The 19,347-nt window shown below is 41.2% G+C and overlaps 1 protein-coding gene and 1 long non-coding RNA gene across 2 annotated transcripts in view, besides 6 other annotated features; one reads left to right on the top strand and one right to left on the bottom strand.

The window, feature by feature from the left end:
• Nucleotides 1-5,455, bottom strand: part of RLF (RLF zinc finger) — a 79,535-nt gene extending 74,080 nt beyond the window's left edge. Inside the window, exon 1 of the mRNA NM_012421.4 lies at nucleotides 5,206-5,455. Within this exon, the coding sequence (NP_036553.2) occupies nucleotides 5,206-5,442 (237 nt within the window). The 5' untranslated portion in view covers nucleotides 5,443-5,455. The remainder of the gene's footprint in view (nucleotides 1-5,205) is intronic.
• Nucleotides 4,551-5,166: an enhancer, noted in NCBI's record as "NANOG-H3K27ac-H3K4me1 hESC enhancer chr1:40627348-40627963 (GRCh37/hg19 assembly coordinates)". NCBI's record gives its function as "activates a minimal SCP1, AML or CMV promoter by ChIP-STARR-seq in primed H9 embryonic stem cells {active_cell/tissue: H9 hESC(primed)}" and the evidence as "EXISTENCE:reporter gene assay evidence [ECO:0000049][PMID:30033119]".
• Nucleotides 5,167-5,783: an enhancer, noted in NCBI's record as "OCT4-NANOG-H3K27ac-H3K4me1 hESC enhancer chr1:40626731-40627347 (GRCh37/hg19 assembly coordinates)". NCBI's record gives its function as "activates a minimal SCP1, AML or CMV promoter by ChIP-STARR-seq in primed H9 embryonic stem cells {active_cell/tissue: H9 hESC(primed)}" and the evidence as "EXISTENCE:reporter gene assay evidence [ECO:0000049][PMID:30033119]".
• Nucleotides 5,170-5,679: an enhancer, noted in NCBI's record as "active region_832". NCBI's record gives its function as "activates an Ori minimal core promoter by ATAC-STARR-seq in GM12878 lymphoblastoid cells {active_cell/tissue: GM12878}" and the evidence as "EXISTENCE:reporter gene assay evidence [ECO:0000049][PMID:35858748]".
• Nucleotides 5,564-19,141, top strand: LOC105378671 (uncharacterized). Its single transcript, XR_947232.3, has 3 exons — nucleotides 5,564-5,877; nucleotides 8,997-9,101; nucleotides 18,591-19,141. It is a non-coding gene; the product is annotated as an uncharacterized LOC105378671 (long non-coding RNA).
• Nucleotides 6,792-6,993: a silencer, noted in NCBI's record as "fragment chr1:40625521-40625722 (GRCh37/hg19 assembly coordinates)". NCBI's record gives its function as "represses an EF-1alpha promoter that drives an FKBP-Casp9 reporter gene in an ReSE screen in K562 erythroleukemia cells {active_cell/tissue: K562}" and the evidence as "EXISTENCE:reporter gene assay evidence [ECO:0000049][PMID:32094911]".
• Nucleotides 12,988-13,127: a silencer, noted in NCBI's record as "silent region_721". NCBI's record gives its function as "represses an Ori minimal core promoter by ATAC-STARR-seq in GM12878 lymphoblastoid cells {active_cell/tissue: GM12878}" and the evidence as "EXISTENCE:reporter gene assay evidence [ECO:0000049][PMID:35858748]".
• Nucleotides 13,328-13,387: an enhancer, noted in NCBI's record as "active region_831". NCBI's record gives its function as "activates an Ori minimal core promoter by ATAC-STARR-seq in GM12878 lymphoblastoid cells {active_cell/tissue: GM12878}" and the evidence as "EXISTENCE:reporter gene assay evidence [ECO:0000049][PMID:35858748]".
• Nucleotides 19,142-19,347: the final 206 nt, after the last annotated feature.

Raw genomic sequence — 19,347 nt, 5'->3', positions numbered from 1 at the left:
GTGTGTGATGTTCCCCACCCTGCGTCCAAGTGTTCTCACTGTTCAATTCCCACCTATGAGTGAGAACGTGCGGTGTTTGGTTTTCTGTCCTTGCAATAGTTTGCTCAGAATGATGGTTTCCAGCTTCATCCATGTCCCTACAAAGGACATGAACTCATCCTTTTTTATGGCTGCACGGTATTCCATGGTGTACATGTGCCACATTTTCTTAATCCAGTCTATCATTGATGGACATCTGGGTTGGTTCCAAGTCTTTGCTATTGTGAATAGTGCTGCAATAAACATACGTGTGCCTGTGTCCTTAAAGCAGCATGATTTATAATCCTTTGGGTATATACCCAGTAATGGGATGGCTGGGTCAAATGGTATTTCTATATTTCTAGTTCTAGATCCTTGAGGAATCGCCACACTGTCTTCCACAATGGTTGAACTAGTTTACGGTCCCACCAACAGTGTAAAAGTGTTCCTATTTCTCCACAACCTCTCCCTTTATAGTAATTTCTTATGGTTAATTTGCTTTTTACATACTAGATTTTACATTAGAGGTTCCCCCTAAAGTACTGTTTTAAGTGTCTATCTCATGTGTGTATCATGAAGTCCCTACAATTGATTTAACAAATTAGTTTTGTGTGCCAGGCATCATACTAATTGCTAGGTACTAAGTATACAAAAAAGAATAAACAAGACCCCTGCTCTTGTTGATTTACAAGTCAATACAAAAGACAAACATGGAAACAAATTATGTAGGCACCACGTTTATGTACTGGAAGCTAATAGAATGCATTGGAGAAAGAACCACCTAATTCTGCCTGCTGAAATCAGAAAAAGCTGAAAGACCATAATATTAGAGCCAGGTCTTAAAGGATAAATAGGTAGATGGGGAAAGGAAGACCCCGGGTTATTTAGGCAGAGTGAGAAATGGACACAGTGGTGAAGGTGGGATCAAACCAACTTTTTTAATGAGGCTGGGAAAATGGGAGTTGGTGGTCTGGATTCTAAAAGGCTTTGTATACCAAGCTAATAAGTTTGAACTTTATCTTTCCTTTGGCGGAGGGGGGGGAGGAATTGAGGTATTTTAGGGAATAAAGTGACGAACAAGATTATATTTATAATTTAGAAAGAACACAAAGATGAACTGCAGATGTCAGTCAGAAAACAAGAGATTAGTGAAGAGGTTGCTGCAACAGGAGAAAGCCTGAATGAAGACAGTGACAGCAATAAAATTAAGAGTTAAAACTACAGGTATGTACAGTGTCCCCCCAAAAAAATCCCAAACAAATAAGAGGAAACCTATCTGGTAAATCAGGAAAAGCTTCACAGAAGGGATGACATTTATACTGGGCCCTAAAGAAGAAAAATCTCCCATGCAGAAAATGAGAGAACCACACAATGAAAGGGAAAGACACGGCCTGAGATCTCGTTAACGTAGTTAATACGTTTATTGGATCTTGAGAAGTCAAATGAAAATTAAAATCATCTTTCCCAAAATTATGTGCTTGGAAACTTACAGACAAAATTTTAATCACAGGAATAACTGCAATCACATGTTGGTCCATGGACTGACTCCAAGTAAAGAACTCCTGAATAGGAGTAAACAAGTTGGATTCAGGTGATGGGACTGACAAGGGGAGGGCTGAAAAGCATGCTGAGACCAAGGTTGTGAAAACTTTTTATTACAAAGCTAAGAAATCTGGATAACACAGACAATTCTGAAGGCATTTTTAAAAATAGATATTTTCTTATTAAGTCCTTACAACAATGAATTTGCTTACAAAACTTAAGTACTATTATCCATTTGCAAAAGAATTAACGTTTAAGGAAAATAACATGCCCAAGGTCACACAACTATTTCAATAGTGAAGCCAGTACATAGGCTATCTGACTCAGAGCCCTTGTACTCCCCATCACTAATCTAGGAAAAATGGAAATTTTAATGGAGTACTTACTTATTTTAGCCATCAAAAATCTACGAAGTCACTGTTAGTCTTGAACCTAAAAGTGTCTCATATAAACGTGGTTTACTCATAAAATTACTTTGCCCAGTATTCTCAAAGTGTAATCACATAATCACTCAATAATTTCAATTTTGATAATGAAGTTTACTAAAAAAAAAGTCTTCAAAATTTGTGTTACAAATAGAGACACCAATTGTAAAACTTAAGGAATCCTGGTCCCCAAAATACAGGAAAAACTTGAGAAGACATCATCAATTTTTCAAGAAAACAAAGAAAGACTGTTTTCTAAAGTTAATCTTATCCACACTGTCTGGCAGTGGTTTCAGAAAAGGAACTGAAGGAAAGAGGAAAACAAACCACATCCCATAGTCACTTAATACCAATTTTCACTGAATACAGTTTGACCTAAGTATCATTTTCTTAGTAAGTATTACTTTCAGTGTTTCATTTTATCATCTTCACAAACTTATGAAAATTGAAAATATGCCCAGAATGAGACAAGCTTCTCTATTCACTCATATGTTAGTTTATTTCTTGATTTGGTGCAATCCCAAAGATAGAGCCATTTCTTTTAAGTGCTGCAAGAGTTGGAGAGAATATGGTCCCAGGATGTTGCAAAAGGGATTACTTGGTACAATCTAAGTCTCTAGGACATTTCTAACTAAATAACTGATGAAAATACATTTGTAGTATTAAGCATCCCATAAGCAGGGGTCAGACCTTTATAATGTAAAAATGCCTACAATCTATCTTTATATATTATGTGCTCCTCTCCTAGAGTCCGAGAAAACTGTCTTAACTAGGCTCCCACCTTCAGAACTGTCACACAATCAGTGTTCCTTAAGTAAATGAATATATCTTATTCTTCTTTTCAAATGTGAAACCAAGAGCTATTCAACAAAATTTACTGATGGTGAAAATTTTCCTGCTTCTTCATACAATTTTTACTTTTTCTCTATCTGGTCATCAAGGACACAGTTGATCTTATCTGGACTACAGGGGAAAATGTGTCAAAAATATGATAAATTTTGTGAAGACTTGTACACAAATTTTCTATTCTGATTGTATAAAGCATTATAAGGAGATAAAGGTCAGAAAATAAGATAGTTTTGCAGACATGGTTACCCAAGGTTATTAGCTAAGCAGTGGTAAAGTCACAGTCAAGACCCAACTTAACTCCCAATCCCATGTGCTTTCTATTACAATACAGTGTTACAGGAATACTTGTTCTTGTTTCATTTATTAGTCTAAAAAACATTTTTTGGGAAAATTTTAGGTTAAAAAAAACTTCATAGAAAAGACAAATTACACATGCTTTCTTTTAAAAATTCTTCTGGGCCATCACATCTCTGGTGTCACCAAGACTCAAGACATTAAAACATTACCTTAAACAAAACTGCAGTTGCAAGCACTAGACATAAAGCAGAATACATATATATGTGATCCTTTGACAAGCTTCAATGTGACTGGTTACATTCATTCTTGTCATCTTTCCAGGGAGACAACTCAAGCTTAGAAGCCTTACCCAAAACCCACAGTTGTTTTCCTGCACCACCCCTCTCCTTCCATTAGTTTCCCCTCCTCCCATAGCATTCTGGGTCCTTACCAATCTCTACCTTTGGCACTGGGATGCTTTCCCCACCCCAGACCTTCACGTGACTCATTTTCATCCTTGCAGCCCATAGGGTCTTACTAACTAAAGTGGCCTCTCCCAGTTACTTCTTTCTAAGCACATACTACAATTTATAATTAACCTTTTTACTTATTTTTCTAGTTAATTGTCTTTCCCATCAGGATATCCCATGAAGGCTCTCTCCTCACCATTGTCTCTACAACACCTCCTTTTCCATCATTACCAAAACCGCACTGGAAATACTGTCATTCCTACCACCTCCCACCAACTGTAAGTTCATCAAGGCTAAGTGCTGTCTTACTCATGTTTCCCCAGCACTTGGTAAAGTCCCTGGCACTATCCTATGAAGTCAGTAAAAATCTGTAAAATAAATGAGCTTACTAAACAGGGATGACTACTACTAAGGAAGCAGAGAACAACAACACGTTAACATTTAATAGTACAGGGCAATGTTGCAGGTTGTACACACAAAAATTGGAGTGGTACAATCCACGGAAAAGATTAGTAAGGACAAAATTCCATTCAGAGAGATGAGGTGCTTCTGCCTCGGCAGAGAGAGGGAAGAAAAGCAATCAAGCAAGCTAACTTTTATTCTACTCCGGACCAACAGAGCAAATTGCCCCCCAAAATTATTATTTTAGAACGCCGCAATTTATTCAGCATACTGGACTACTTATTAGACTCCAAGTACCAACATGCCACGATTATTTTGCATTTTCTAAGGTACAACAGATAAGGAGCTGATGGGTGCCTCTGAAACCTGACAGAACAAACATTGGAAGCAGAAATAATAATGGCCAATATTTGTATTTGTAAAAGACTTGAAAACATACAGAAAAATCTCGGAGTGGTCATGGAGACTAAACTAAACACACCCATAAATATGTAATCATAGGTTAGGACCCACCAAGGCACAGAAATGATCATACGACTGCCAAAAGAGGCCACACTCTACATCCCTCTTCCCATCCTCTTCTACTCAAAGAGTCAGCCTTATTCTCGGTAGCACAATCCTCTCAAAGAAATACAGAAAAGACGAAAGAACGGCTTAAACGTAAAAAAAAAAAAAGCAAAAACCAAACAACCAACCGGCTCCGCAATCCCTAATCAGAAAGCTCTAGACGCCTTTCGAAGCCAACTGTCATACCTTTTAGGAGCCCAGAAGATGTTAACTCCAAAAATAAGTCTCTGGCCCCAACACACCTCTCTGGATTATTCAGAAAAACCCGGGTTTACCAGTTCGGAGATCTGCACTCCACTCAAAAAAGGATCTCCCGGCAGGGACAAGCAATCAATCCCTCAGGGGGCAGTGGCGCTCCAACCACCCGGCCAGGACACAGGCAACGGCGACAGGGCACAGCCCTTCCAGGGACCCGCCAGGGCCCTCCGGGATCTCAGTAAGGCTCAGAGCAAAACGACCCAGCGGTGGCCAAAGTCGGGCAGTGGCGCAGGGGGGCCAGCGGTCGAGCTTCCGAGCTGGGCCTTCCCGGCCCGGGGGCGCGGCGAGTCACGGAGGTGGCGCCTTTCAGTTTGGACCCGGCTGCTTACAGAGGATCCAGGGCCTCCTTCCCTGACTTCCCCGCCCCGCCGCCCTCAGCCAGCCAGTCAGCCCCTCACCTGGCAGAAGCTCCGGCAGTAGTTCAAAGATGAGACCTCCGACACCTCTTGCTCCCTCAGCTCTGTCTCCAGCTGCCACAGACACGGCCGCAGTCCCGAGGCTCCCGGCGCTGGAGATACGGGGCGATGACCCCGAACCATGGACTCAGTCTCGACTCCATCTCCGGCTCCCGCTACCGCCGGAGCCTCAGCCCCAGCCCCGGCGACAGCGGCGGCGTCTCCCTTTCCGTCCGCCATCTTCCCACGGCCCACCAGCGCGTAGGCAACCAAGCCACGTGACTCAGCCCTGGCCCTGCCCCCGGCCGCCCGCGCACTGTGACGCACTCCTTAGCGACGCGGGCGCCCGCCTGATTCCGTCACTCGGACTCCGGGTGCTCTCAGTGGCCTACGCATCGCCAGTCCTGACAACAGCCTAGCAACAACTGGCTAGAGGCTATGCCCACCTAGACCCCTTTGAGGTCATGGGATCACGGAGCCAGAAATGCCTGTAGAGCAATCTAGATTTGAGGGGGATGACATTTGAACTGCGATCTGAAGGGACAAGAGGAAGGTAGCCCTGAAAGGAACATAGCGAAAAGCATCCCTGGTAGAAGGAAAATAAGCAAAGATTGTGAGGCCGAAATGAAGAGTAACATCAAGGGAACTTGGTTTATGATACAGACGGCATTACAAGTCAGTGGGCGAAAGGACAGACTCTTCAATAAATGGCGATGAGACATTTTTTCCAAAAGGGAAATAAATGATTAGATTTCTACCTCAAACCATTTCCAAAAATAAGGCCGAGATGGATTAAAGACCTGCAAACATTTTTCAGAAAATAAAAATAGCTTTATAATGTCAAAAATAGGGAAGAATTTTTTTTTTTTTTTTTAGACGGAGTCTCACCCTTGTTGCCCAGGCTGGAGTGCAACAGTGCTATCTCAGCTCACCGCAACCTCCGCCTCCTTGGTTCAAACATTCTCCTGCCTCAGCTTCCGGAGCAGCTGGGATTACATGCATGCGCCACCATACCTGGCTAATTTTGTATTTTTAGTAGAGATGGGGTTTCTCCATGTTGGTCAGGCTGGTCTCGAACTCCTGACCTCAGGTGATCCGCCCGCCTCAGCCTCCCAAAGTGCTGGGATTAGAGGCGTGAGCCACCGCGCCCGGCTAAGAATTTCTTAATAAGACCGGAAAAGCACAAACCATAAGGGAAAATATTTAGATTTGACTGTATTAAAATGTGTTACTTCCGTATAACAAGTTGAAAAAGCACACAAAGACAAGCCACAGACTAAATGATATTCCCCATATATATAACCATTGTTTATTGTTGTTGTTTTTTGAGACAGGGTCTCACTCTGTCACCCAGCCTGGAGTGCAGTGGCACGATCTAGGCTCACTGCAACCTCTGCCTCTCAGGTTTAAGTGATTCTCGTGCTTCAGCCTCCCAAAGTAGCTGGCACTATAAGCGTCCGCCACCATGCCTGGCTAATGTTTGTATTTTTAGTAGAGGCGGGGTTTCACTGTGTTGGCCAGGCTGATCTCGAACTCCTGGCCTCAAGTGATCCGCCCGCCTTGGCCTTCCAAAGTGCTGGGATTACAGGCGTGAGCCACCGCGCCCAGCCATAACCATTGTTTTGATTAGTATCCAAAACAGTTCCCGGGCTGGGCGAGGTGGCTCACGCCTGTAATCCCAGCACTTTGGGAGGCCGAGGCGGGCAGATCACGAGGTCAGGAGATCAGGACTATCCTGGCTAACACGGTGAAACCCTGTCTCTACTAAAAATACAAAAAATTAGCCGGGCGTGGTGGCGGGCGCCTGTAGTCCCAGCTACTCGGGAGGCTGAGGCAGGAGAATGGCGTGAACCTGAGAGGCAGGGGTTGCAGTGAGCCGAGATCGCGCCACTGCATTCCAGCCTGGGTGACAGAGCAAGACTCCGTCTCAAAAAACAAACAAACAAACAAACAAATAGTTCCCAAAATCGAAAAAGGCAAACAACCCAATAGAAAAGTAAATTAAAAAGCTGGACGTTTTGGCTCATGCCTGTAATCTCAGTACTTGGGAGCCCAAGGCCGGAGGATTGCTTGAGTTCAGGAGTTCGAGACCAGCCTGGGCAACATAATGAGATCTTGTGTCTACAAAAAATGAAAACAAAATTAGCCAGGCGTGGTGGCATGCGCCTCTAGTCCCAGCTACTTAGGAGGCTGAGGTGGGAGGATCGCTTGAGCTCTGGAAATCAAAGCTGTGGTGCAGTGACCCAAGGTGGCATCACTGCATTCTAGCCTGAGGGACACTAAAAAAAAAAAAAAAAAGAGAGAGAGAAAGAAAAGTAGGTAAAAAGGCAGTTCACCAAAAAAGAAAACTGAATGGCCAATAAACCCAAGAAAAAATATATAATTTTGCTGTAACTATCAAAGTACAAGTAAAACAACAATTTCATATCCATTAGATTGACAGGAATTTTTAATTAGTATAGGAAATAGGAAAATGGAACTTATATACCCCTGCTGGAAGCATAAATTGACATATCACTTAGGAGAATAATGTGTAATATTTAATGAAATAGAAGATGTACATGTCCTGTAATTAAGCAATTCCTAATAATAAGGGTAATAATAATAACGGTCAATATTCATTGAGATTTAATATGTTCCAGGCACTTTTCGAAGTTCTTTATATGTATTAACTCATTTAATTCTACTAACAATATCATGAAAATTTATTGCCATCATTTTACAATTAAATAAACTAGAGCACAAAGAAGTAACGTGCCCAAAGTGACACAACTAGTGATGGTGCCTGAAATTCAATCCTGGGTAGTCTGGCTCTAGAATCCACCCTCTTAACTGTCATGTTGCTCATATTCATTGCAGCACTATTGGGAATAACAAAATATTTGAAACAACCTAAATGTTCAACAGTAAGAAATAGATAAACAAATTATGGTATGTTCACACACTGAAATATACAGCCAAAAAACATATGAAAACTGCATATATCAACATAATAGGCATAAAGCATGATAAAAAAACAAATCGCAAGGGATATTTAACGTATTATTCTATACTGTAAATTTTGAAAACATAGAAAACAAATGCTCAAGTAACAAAATATTAAAACTAGGGATATTATAGGCATGGCATATATCACCTTTAGAATGGTAGGTAGTTCTTCTGGGGAAAGAGGAAGGGAAGGAGGTATAAGGAGCATTCACTGTATCTGTAATGTTTTACTTATTTTTTAATGTGAAGCAAATATTCAATTATACCAGATGCATTGAGCATATATTATGTGTTAGGCACTTTTTCAGGTAATAGAGATTCAGAAAAGACATGTAGTTTACATTTTAATGGTACATGTAGCTAAGTATTAATTAAAGTATTAGATCTGGCTCTATAATCTATAATATTATTATATATTATTATATAATATCTATAATATTATTCCCTATTGGCTGGGCTCGGTAGCTCACTCCTGTAATCCCAGCACTTTGGGAGGCCGAGGCAGGCAGATCACGAGGTCAGGAGATCGAGACCATCCTGACTAACACGGTGAAACCCCGTCTCTACTAAAAAAATACAAAAAATTAGTCGGGCGTGGTGGCGGGCGCCTGTAGTCCCAGCTACTCAGGAGGCTGAGGAAGGAGAATGGCGTGAAGGGAGGCAGAGGTTGCAGTGAGCCGAGATTGCGCCACTGCACTCCAGCCTGGGCGACAGAGCAAGACTCTGTCTCAAAAAAAGTATATATATGTATATATATATAAATATTATTCTCTATTTTTTTATATCTTTGTAATACAAATAATTAGGTTTAGGCCAGCATGTCTGGAGTATGGTGCAAGAGAGAGAAAGAAGTGAAGATGAGATTGGAGAAGGAGCAAAGAGCCAGGTCATGTAGGACAGTATAGCTCAAGGTAAGCAGTGGGGATTTGAAGTGTACTGAGTAATCATTGTTTTACTGAGTAATCAAAGCTTTAAGTGGAGGTGTAACTTTGTCTGGTTTACACTCTTGCTGCCATGTGAGAATAGGTGGTGAGAGGCGAGAATGAAAGCAGGGAACCTATTGTAGTACTCCAGATGATCAAGTTAGAGATGTATTTTGGAAGTAGAACTAACAGGCTGATGCACTGTTTTTGAGGAAATTGAAATAATCTGGAATGGCTACATGGCTTTTGGTTTGAATGGTGGGCAATGATGTTTATTGAGAAAAGGAAGGCTTAGGAAAGAACAGACTGGGGATAGAGTGAGGGAGAATCAAGAGTTCTATTTGGAACAGGTTAAGTTTGATTTTCCTGTGAGTTCCTATGAGACATTTAAATGGAGATGCCAGATAGGCACTTGTATGTGTGACTGTGGAGCTTCAGCTGAAGATGTGGGGCCATCAGCTGTTCCACCTCTGTTAGGCAAAAAGAAAAATAAATCTCTAGTGACTCCACCACATCTTCATCTAGCTTCCATCCCACTTCTTTGCTTCCTTTTATAGAAAAACTTCTCTAAAGAGCTGGCCAGACCTTCTGTTTCTACTTACCCTCTTCTCATTCTTACTTGAACTCTTCTCAGTCAGGTTTTATCCCCACCAGTCAATGAAACAGCTCATTTTAACACCACCAGTGAGTTCTACTTTTGTGTGTGTCCAAAGGTGAATTATCAGTCCTTGTTTAGTCAATCTCTTAGCAGTATTTGGCATTGTCGATAATTCCCCAACATTTAATTTCACTTGGATTCCAAGTCTGCACATTCTCCTGGTGTTTTTTTTCTTGATTTCTTTTCTTTTATTCTCTCTTTTCTTTGTGATTTCTAAGTGTCCCAGGCATAGTCTGTCAACTTCTTTTCTATCTACACTCACTGCTACACTCACCCAGTTCTAATACATGTATGTGCTTATGACAATACCACCCTAAGTCCAGGCAACAAGGGCCCTGCCCTGGGTCCCACACTTTAGAGGACTACACAAACCTCTCTCTCTCTTTCTTACACACACACACATGCACACACACACACACACACACAGTAACTATATTAAAGAACACATGGGCACCCCTATCATTTGAAATCCAGCACTCAGCACAAGTACAATCTTAAATATTTGCTTTCTTGAGGCAGGGTCTCACTCTGTCACCCATGCTGAAATGCAGTGGTATGATCACAGCTCACTGCAGCCTTGGCCTTCCTGGACTCAAGCAAGCCTCTCACGTCAGTCTCTTGAGTAGCTGAGACTACAGAAATGCAACAACAAGCCTAGCTTTTTTCCATTTCTATTCTTTTCTTTCTTCCTTTGTTTCTTTGTTTCTTTCTTTCTTTCCTTCTTTCTTCTTCTTCTTCTTTTTTTTTTTTTTTGACGGAGTTTCCCCTTTGTCACTAGACTGGAGTGCAGTGGGGTGATCTCAACTCACTAGAATTTCTGCCTCCTGGGTTCAAGAGATTCTTCTGCCTCAGTCTCCTGAGTATCTGGGATTGCAGGTGTGCATCACCACACCCGGATAAATATTTGCTTTCTTTACCACTACTATTCAGGCTTTAGGGAACCTCTTTATCACGTCTCTTGCTCCATATACTCAAAGCTGAAAGGCACCAAAAGAATTGAAACCAGAGACATGAACAAATATTTGTACATTTGTGTTCACAACACTGTTATTCATAATAACCAAACGATAAAAATGACCCAAATGTCCATGAATGAATGAATAAATAAATGAATGTGGTATAGACATGCAATGGAATGTTATTCAACCTTAAAAAGGAAAGAAATTCATTCCTGAAAAAACAGGGGGAGGGAGGAAATTCTGACACGTGCTACAACATGGATAAATGTTGATTATGCTAAGTGAAACAAGCATCATAAAAAGACAAATGTTGTATGAGTCCACTTATATGAGGTATATAGAGTAGTCAAATTCATAGAGTAAGAAAGAATAATGGTGGTTGCCAGGGGCTGGGGGAGAGAGAGGCCAGCAGAGTTATTGTTTAATGGATGTAGAATTTCAGTTTGGGAAGATGAAAAAGTTACGGTGATGGAGGGTGGTGATGCTTGCACAACAATGTGAATGTACTTAATGCCACTGAACTATACACTTAAAAATGGATAAAATGATAAGCTTTACCTTATGCATATTTTACCACCATTAAAAAAATGAAAGACAACTGCATCCTAATGTCTTGAAGGTTTTGGGTTGTGCTACTTAAGAGAAATAGGCACACTGTTTTTGAAATGCTACGTAGAGTGTGTTCGAGCTACAGAAGCACTTGGGTAAGAGAAAACACAAATTAGCTTGTCATACTCTTCCTCTTAGATAGCATAAATGCATTTTCTTGCATAACCATGTATTGTTTCTTGGTAGTGGCAGATGTTCCTTTTTTTAATTGTCTCCATACACACATATGCGTATACACTGATATATACATGTATCTGTCTAGATGTAACATGAGTAGAGAGTAAGACTGAACATTTACATAATCATAAATAGACAATGAATATTAGCATTGGGAATAACTATTTGTACAAAAATATTTAATAAGACTGAATTGTTTTTTAAATGAAATTTACAATTCTAGCATTATTTACTTAATTTTAATTTAAAATTGTGAAAGAAAATAGTCTATTTTGAGCTTCTAAAAGTTGTTAGGCCCTAAGCAAGGTTGACTTTGGAGACTGAGTCACAAAGCATGACCTCTTGTTTACTGGCATTTTTGTTTTTTTGTTTTTGTTTTTTTTGACACAAGGTCTTACTTTGTCACCCAGTCTGGAGTGCAGTGATCTCAGCTCACTGCAACCTCAACTTCTTGGTTCAAGAGATCCTTCTGCCTCAGCCCCTCAAGTAGCTGGAACTACAGGCACATGCCACCACACCAAGCTAATTTTTGCATTTTTTATAGAGATGGGGTTGCTGGTCTCAAACTCCTGGACTCAAATGATCTGTCCATCTCAGCCTTTCAAAGCCCTGGGATTACAAGCGTGAGCCACTGTGCGTGGCGGCCTTTTGTTATAGATTAACTTCCTTCCTATTTTCTTTTACTTGGCTCAAACAAGAAAAAAAGACCCCTTGACTATTACATCCTTAATGTGAAATGTGAAATATACCCTTCCCCCAAAAGAAACACTGCATATAATCAATCAAATTGCTGTATCTATGCATTAATCTTGTATGCAAAATGTTGAAATCCTGGTAAGCTTCCCCAGACTTTACCTATTTAAGCACCCTCAAACCTCTCCATTTCAGAGCACTGACCCCATCTTTTTGGAGTCTATATCCTCTCAGATGGCCACCCTCAAATTTACACTCGAATAAACTCAATATTTAATACTGTTGCCTGAATTTCATTATTAAGGTTGACATTTTGGCGACCATGAAGGGACCTAAGGCAAACCTTCATTCCAGTGATTCCTGTCATTTCACTAACAGCCAAAATCTTGGTACCAGCATGAACAACTTTTGTTCATCCACCCTCAAAAGAACTAATGGGGATCCCTGGTAAGGCTCCTCTCAGGTTGTAGTCCTCTTGGCTTTGATGAGGATTCAGACTTTATTCCAGCTATACACTTCTAACTGGAGGAAGTAAGAATTAAAGCTCTGCTGCAAGATAGGAGTTTCATTTGTTATTCTGTAGAGATTCTGCTGATCATAGATTTGTGACTTTCAGTCGGGTGCAGTGGCTCACACCTGTAATCTCAGCACTTTGGGAGGCCGAGGTGGGTGGATCACTTGAGGTTGGGAGTTCGAGACCAGCCTGGCCAACATGGTGAAACCCCGTTTCTACTAAAAACACAAAAATTAACTGGGCGTGGTGGCACATGCCTGTAGTGCCAGCTACTCAGGAGGCTGAAGCAGGAGAATCACTTAAACCCAAGAGGCAGAGGTTGCAGTGAGCCGAGATCACACTACTGTATTCCAGCCTGGGTGACAGAGCAAGACTATGTCTCAAAAAAAAAAAAAATTGTGACTTTCACTTTTCTGTGAGGTTAAGGTTTTTGTTTTGAATTACTCCTTAGAGTTTTTACAACTTTTTCTCTCATTCAAAATGTTGATAAGGTGAAAAACAGTTTATTTTTAAAAAGAGGAAGTAAATCTTTGTGGTTTAAGCAAAAATGTTATAATATTTAAAGCTAGCCAGGTTCTGAGGCTTGGTTCAATTGACAAATTCAAGCTTGCTTCTTGAGTGACCAAAATTATGAAATACTCTGTATAAGGATGAAATAAGTCCTGAAGATAATAGACACTGTTTCTCCCAGCTAAAAGTCACCTTAAGCAACTAAGGTCTAGTGTGAGTATCTGAGTTAATCACTCCTGATAAGTAACAGTCTCACAGGAAATCCCTTAAGTAGAATTTAAAGGAAACCTTGCTTAATCTGGTGAGCACACATAAAGGATTGATTACCCTGTATCTTAAGCATCCAAGTTTGTTGGTATCATTGAGATTTGTATGTGAGAAGAACTGACTCAAGAGTGACACCTTGAGGAGCTATTTTCGCAAGCAGCACACTCGATCTCAAAACAACTTTCACTAAGTCTTTTGGTCTTAGGGATCTCAAAACAACTTTCTTGATCTCAAAACAACTTTCCCTAAGTCTTTTGATGCACTATGGGCAACTGTGCATCTAAAACTGAACCTTCCTCCTTAAGAGAGACCCACTATTAGAAACTCCAGCTGGATTTATAGTTAACACATATGACATGATGCCTTTTCAGGTAAGTATTTAGAAAACTGCTCGTGAATAACTCACAATGACTCCAAATTATAATGGCCAAAATGGTGTGCCTTTGAAATGCCTAATCTAGTTTACTTATATGCTCAATTAGAATAAGCTGGCTCTAAAATAAAACAGAGCAATTGGAAAAGTTATTTTCAATGGCATTTAGAGGCTTCCAAAAGAGGTTTTGATAAAGTTCTTTCTTTACAGAAAGAAAACAAAAGATTCTCTGAAACAATTTCTGAAATAAAAAAGCTGCTGAAATTTCTCCTCCTCAACTCCTCCTTCTCTTTATCCTTCATTATCTCAACTACTTTTTCTTCCTCCTCCCACTTCTACTCCCATTGTTCTGGCTCCATTTTGTGAGTAGCTGGTGTCTGGTAGGGGAGAACCTACCTTGGTTTATGAACCAAGGTGAAATCTAAAGGCATAGTTAAAGAATTCCCTGACTCTCACCTGGACCCTACTCATTTTACCAGACAATTTGAATGGAATATTCAAGCTTATGATCCTGTTGTTTTTTTTCTAATTTATACTAACTAGTTCACATGTTAACATCAAAAAGTAAAGCTAAAGGCGGAGCTTGGTGGCTCATGCCTATAATCCCAGACCTTTGCAAGGCCAAGGTGGGTGGATCACTTGAGGTCAGGAGCTCGAGACCAGCCTGACCAACATTACAGGCATGAGCCACGCGCCCGGCCTAAGGAGTCTTATATCTCAGTCAAGAATCAGTCAAGGAGACTTATATAGACTCAGTCAAGGAGTCTTGTATCTCAGGTACCATCTGAGTCAGGTACAAGAAAATAAGAAAGGAAATTAATCTATAATAAAAAGTCAAGATTAAGAGGTCATGCTCTGTGACTTGGTCTCCAAAGTCAATCTTCCACAAAACCTAAGCTTTTAGAAGCCCCAAATAGACAGACTATTCCTTTTCTTTCACATTTTCCCCTTTTCTTCAAGATCTTTGAAGAAAGCATTACGGAAGAAGCATTTGTTAGAGAGTAGTTATATCTCACATCACTAGGAAGTCTCATTCCTAGAGAGTCATGCCCCACAGAGAGGGGAAATGTTTAATTCATAAGCCGAAAGAAGCCAAAGCCTAATTATGAACAACAGAAGGAAAGTATAACTTAGTGGTCTGATTCTGGTTGTGTGACTTATTTTCAATTAAGGCAACTTTTTAAGCAATTATTATTCTAGTTTTAGTCATTGATCACAAGCAAGCTGAAACACGAATCATGAGTAATTTGATAACTAGGAAAATGGAAACTGTACTTATGATTATAATAACAATTACTTGAAGACCAGAACGAAAAAATGAACTTAGCCCTGAGGGTAACCAACTAAACAAGTCATTTAGAGAATCCATTTTCTTTTCTTTCTTTCTTTCTTTTCTTTTCTTTCTTTTTTTTTTTTTTTTTTTGAGACAGAGTCTTACTCTGTCACCCAGGCGGGAGTGCAGTGGCATGATCTTGGCTCACTGCAACCTTCGCCTCCTGGGTTCAAGTGATTCTCCTGCCTCAGCCTCCTGAGTAGCTGGGACTACAGGGGTGTGCCATCACGACCAGCTAATTTCTGCGTTTTTAGTAGAGATGGGGTCTTGCCACTTTGGCCAGACTGGTCTTGAACTCCTGGCCTCAGGTGATCCACCTACCTTGGCCTCCCAAAGTGCTGGGATTACCGGCGTGAACCACTGTGCCAGCCTAGAGAATCCATTTTCTAACATCTTATAACCATTAGTCTTTTGAGTTTTATTTATTTATTTATTTTTGAGATGGAGTCTCACTCTGTCCCCCAGGCTGGAGTGCAGTAGCGCAATCTTGGCTCACTGCAACATCTGCCCCATGGTTTCAACCACCGTGCCTGGCTTTTTTTTTTTTTTTCGATGGAGTCTTGCTCTGTTGCCCAAGCTGGAGTGCAGTGGTACAATCTCGGCTCACTACAACCTCCGCCTCCCAGGCTCAAGTGATTCTCCTGCCTCAGCCTGTTGAGCAGCTGGGATTACCGGCGCCCACCACCATGCCCAGCTAATTTGTGTAGTTTTAGTAGAGATAGGGTTTCACCATGTTGGCCAGGCTGGTCTCAAACTCCTGACCTCAAGTGATGTGCTCACCTTGGCCTCCCAAAGTGCTAGGATTACAGGTGTGAGCCACCACGCCCAACCAAGTTATTCTTTTAAATTGAGTCTGCACTTCTCTAGAGGTATTAACATAGATACAACAAGTGATGTGTGCTACTGCACAGACTCCTCCTTTTTCAGCCAATACATAGTCAAAGGCAATTCTGTTATCTAGTATTACCTGGGCTAAGGAGGTCAAACATTTTTGGTGAGCTGCAATGCTTCTTGCATTGTCTCCAGCTATCTGACCAATACGAGCTGATAGGTTTTTATTCATCTCTATTAATATGAACTCCCAGCACTCAGGATTAGTGTTCCCAAAATGCTGTGACCTAAATTATTTCAATACTCTGCTAACGGCTGGGCGCAGTGGCTCATGCCTGTAATCCCAGCACTTTGGGAGGCCGAGGCGGGCGGATCACCTGAGGTCCGGAGTTCAAGACCAGCCTGACCAACATGGAGAAACCCCATCTCTACTAAAAGTACAAAAAATTAGCCTGGTGTGGTGGTGCATTCCTGTAATCCCAGCTACTCCGGAGGCTGAGGCAGGAGAATGGCTTGAACCCGGGAGGCGGAGGTTGCTGTGAGCCGAGATCGCGCCATTGCACTCCAGCCTGGGCAACAAGAGTGAAACTCCATGTCAAAAAAAAAAAAAACAAAAATACTCTGCTAACATAGTCTTCTTATCTCTGTAATAGAGAAAGGGGGGGTCCATATATATATATATATTCTCCTTCCTCTGCCTCAGCCTCCCAAGTAGCTGGAATTACAGGCATGTGCCACCACACCCGGCTAATTTTTGTATTTTTAGTAGAGACAGGGTTTCACCATATCCAATTCAGGCCCTTGACTGAAAATATATTCCCAAGCTGACCTTTTTTTTTTTTCACTTCCTCCAGCTATATCACCCTAGTTTTATTCATTAATATCTCCCATCTAAACTTAAGGAGTAACCTTTTTAGGGGACTAGCTATTTCTATTCTGGCCCTCCTGGAGTCAATTGTCCACACAATAGCTACATTAATCATTTTATGGGAAGAAGAAAAGATTCTTCTTTTTTATTTTTTGTGGGAAGAAGAAAAGATTTTTTTTTTTTTTTTTTTGAGACAGAGTCTTGCTCTGTCGCCCAGGCTGGAGGGCAGTGGCACCATCTCAGCTCACTGCAACCTCTGCCTCTCGGGTTCAAGCGATTCTTCTGCCTCAGCCTCCCGAGTAGCTGGGATTACAGGTCTGTGCCACCACGCCCAGGTAATTTTTGTATTTTTAGGAGATACAGGGTTTCACCATGTTGGGCAGGCTGGTTTCAAACTCTTGTCCTCAACTGATCCATCTGCCTCAGCCTCCCAAAGTGCTCGGATTAGAGGTGTGAGCCACCATGCCTGGCCTACATTAATCCTTTTAAAACATAATTCAGATTGTTTTGCTTCCCTTGCTCAAAACATTATAGTGACTTCCCATCACTCCTTGAAAAACATGAAAAAATCTTTACCAGAGTCTGCAAAGCCCTACCTATATTGGCCCCTGCTCCCTCTCTAAACTCAGGCACTACTTTATCTCACTCATTGGGCTCCAGCCACATTGGTCTTGCCATTCTTAAACAAGATGAACAAACTCCATGAATTTTGCACTTACCGTTCCCTCTGCCTGTGGAACTCTTCTTTTTTTCATTTCATTGAGGTTCAAGTATCACCTCATAGAGGCATTCACTGACAACTCTATCTAAAAGAGCCTTTTCTATCCCCTTGCTCTCCTTCCACTTTTAAAATATTATTTGGCTTTTTTTTGAATATTTTTCTTTTTTTTTTTTTTGAGATGGAGTCTCGCTCTGTCACCAGGCTGGAGTGCAGTGGCACAATCTCGGCTCAATGCAACCTTCGCCTCCCAGGTTCAAGCAATTCTCCTGCCTCAGCCTCCCAAGTAGCTGGGATTACAGGCACCTGCCACCACACCCAGCTAATTTTTGTATTTTTAGTAGAGACAGGATTTCACCATGTTGGCCAGGTTGGTCTCAATCTCTTGACCTCGTGATCCGCTCGCCTCAGCCTCTCGAAGTGCTGGGATTACAGGCATGAGCCACTGCGCCCAGCCCAAATATTATTTGGCTTTATGTTATCACTGTTGTGTGTGTCTCCCCTCTATAGAAGGTAAGTTCTTTGGAAGTAGAGTGACTTGCGTCATTCACCGCTGTATCCCCAGTGTCTGGTACAGTAGTTCCGGGCATATTGTGTGCACTCAATGTTATGAAAGAAGACTTTTTAAAGCATATGGTATTTAAATGGGTATTTAAATAAGATCCACTGGGGAGAGTATAAACTAAGGGTCATAAATTTATATTCCTACTAGCCTTTGTCAGCTCACCTAAATGAATGACACAGGCTGGGTATAAGATGTTTGGAAAGAATGAGTTGATTAAGAAATGACCCAAGAAGCAGGTACTCAGCTCCAGAAAATTATTGCCATATGAGAATACAGAACTCATTTTACTAGGTCTGCTAATTCTCCAAGATAAATTGGAAGTTCAGTTTTGGTTTTGTTGTTGTCGTTTTTCTTTTATTTGATTTTGTTTTTTAACACGATTTCCTATTTTGAAAACTGCAGGCCAAATAATACCCACCTGTGAGTCCAGTGTGACTGATGAGCCAACGGTCTGCAACCTCAAAACAGAAAGAAGGAGGAGGGTCCAAGATCTTGCCAACACTAAGATGTCAGAGGAGTAGGATCCAGCCATCAAAGAATGTTCAGAACCCACTGAACAGACAGAGGGAAAACCAAGAGTGTGATATTCCTCAAGACAAAAGAAGAAAGCGGCAGGAAGAAGCTGAATGGTCAGCTTTGTAGGCTGCTGACAAGAGTTTGGGTAAGGTGAGGACACACAAATGTCCATTTGATGTGACATCATGAGTATTGGTTGGTAACCTCAACTAGAGAAGTTTCTGTAGATCTCTGGTATGGAATCCTGTCTGAAGAAGATTGAAGAATTAATGTGAGATATGAAAGTAAAAAGAGCAGGGCAATTACCCTCTTCAGAAGTTTTTCTGAGAAAGAGGAGAATAAAACCGGGGCTGTGCTATTAAGGGGATATGAGGTTTTGGAAGGAATTCTTAAAGATAAGTTTATTAGTATGTTCTCATGCCTGTAATAAAGACATAACCGAGACTGGGTAATTCATAAAGGAAAGAGGTTTAATTGACTCATACTTCCACACGGCTGGAGAAGCCTCACAATCACAGCAGAAGGCCAAAAAGAAACAAAGTCGTGTCTTACATGGTGGCAGGCAGAGAGTTTGTGTAGGGGAGCACCCCTTTATAAAACCATCAGATCCTGTGAGACTTACTCACTATCATGAGAGCAGCAC

The sequence above is a fragment of the Homo sapiens genome, chromosome 1 (genome assembly GCF_000001405.40).
Source record: "Homo sapiens chromosome 1, GRCh38.p14 Primary Assembly".
Lineage (NCBI taxonomy): Eukaryota > Metazoa > Chordata > Mammalia > Primates > Hominidae > Homo > Homo sapiens.
The sequence above is the reverse complement of the archived record's forward strand: the minus strand, read 5'-3'. Positions and strand labels throughout refer to the sequence as shown.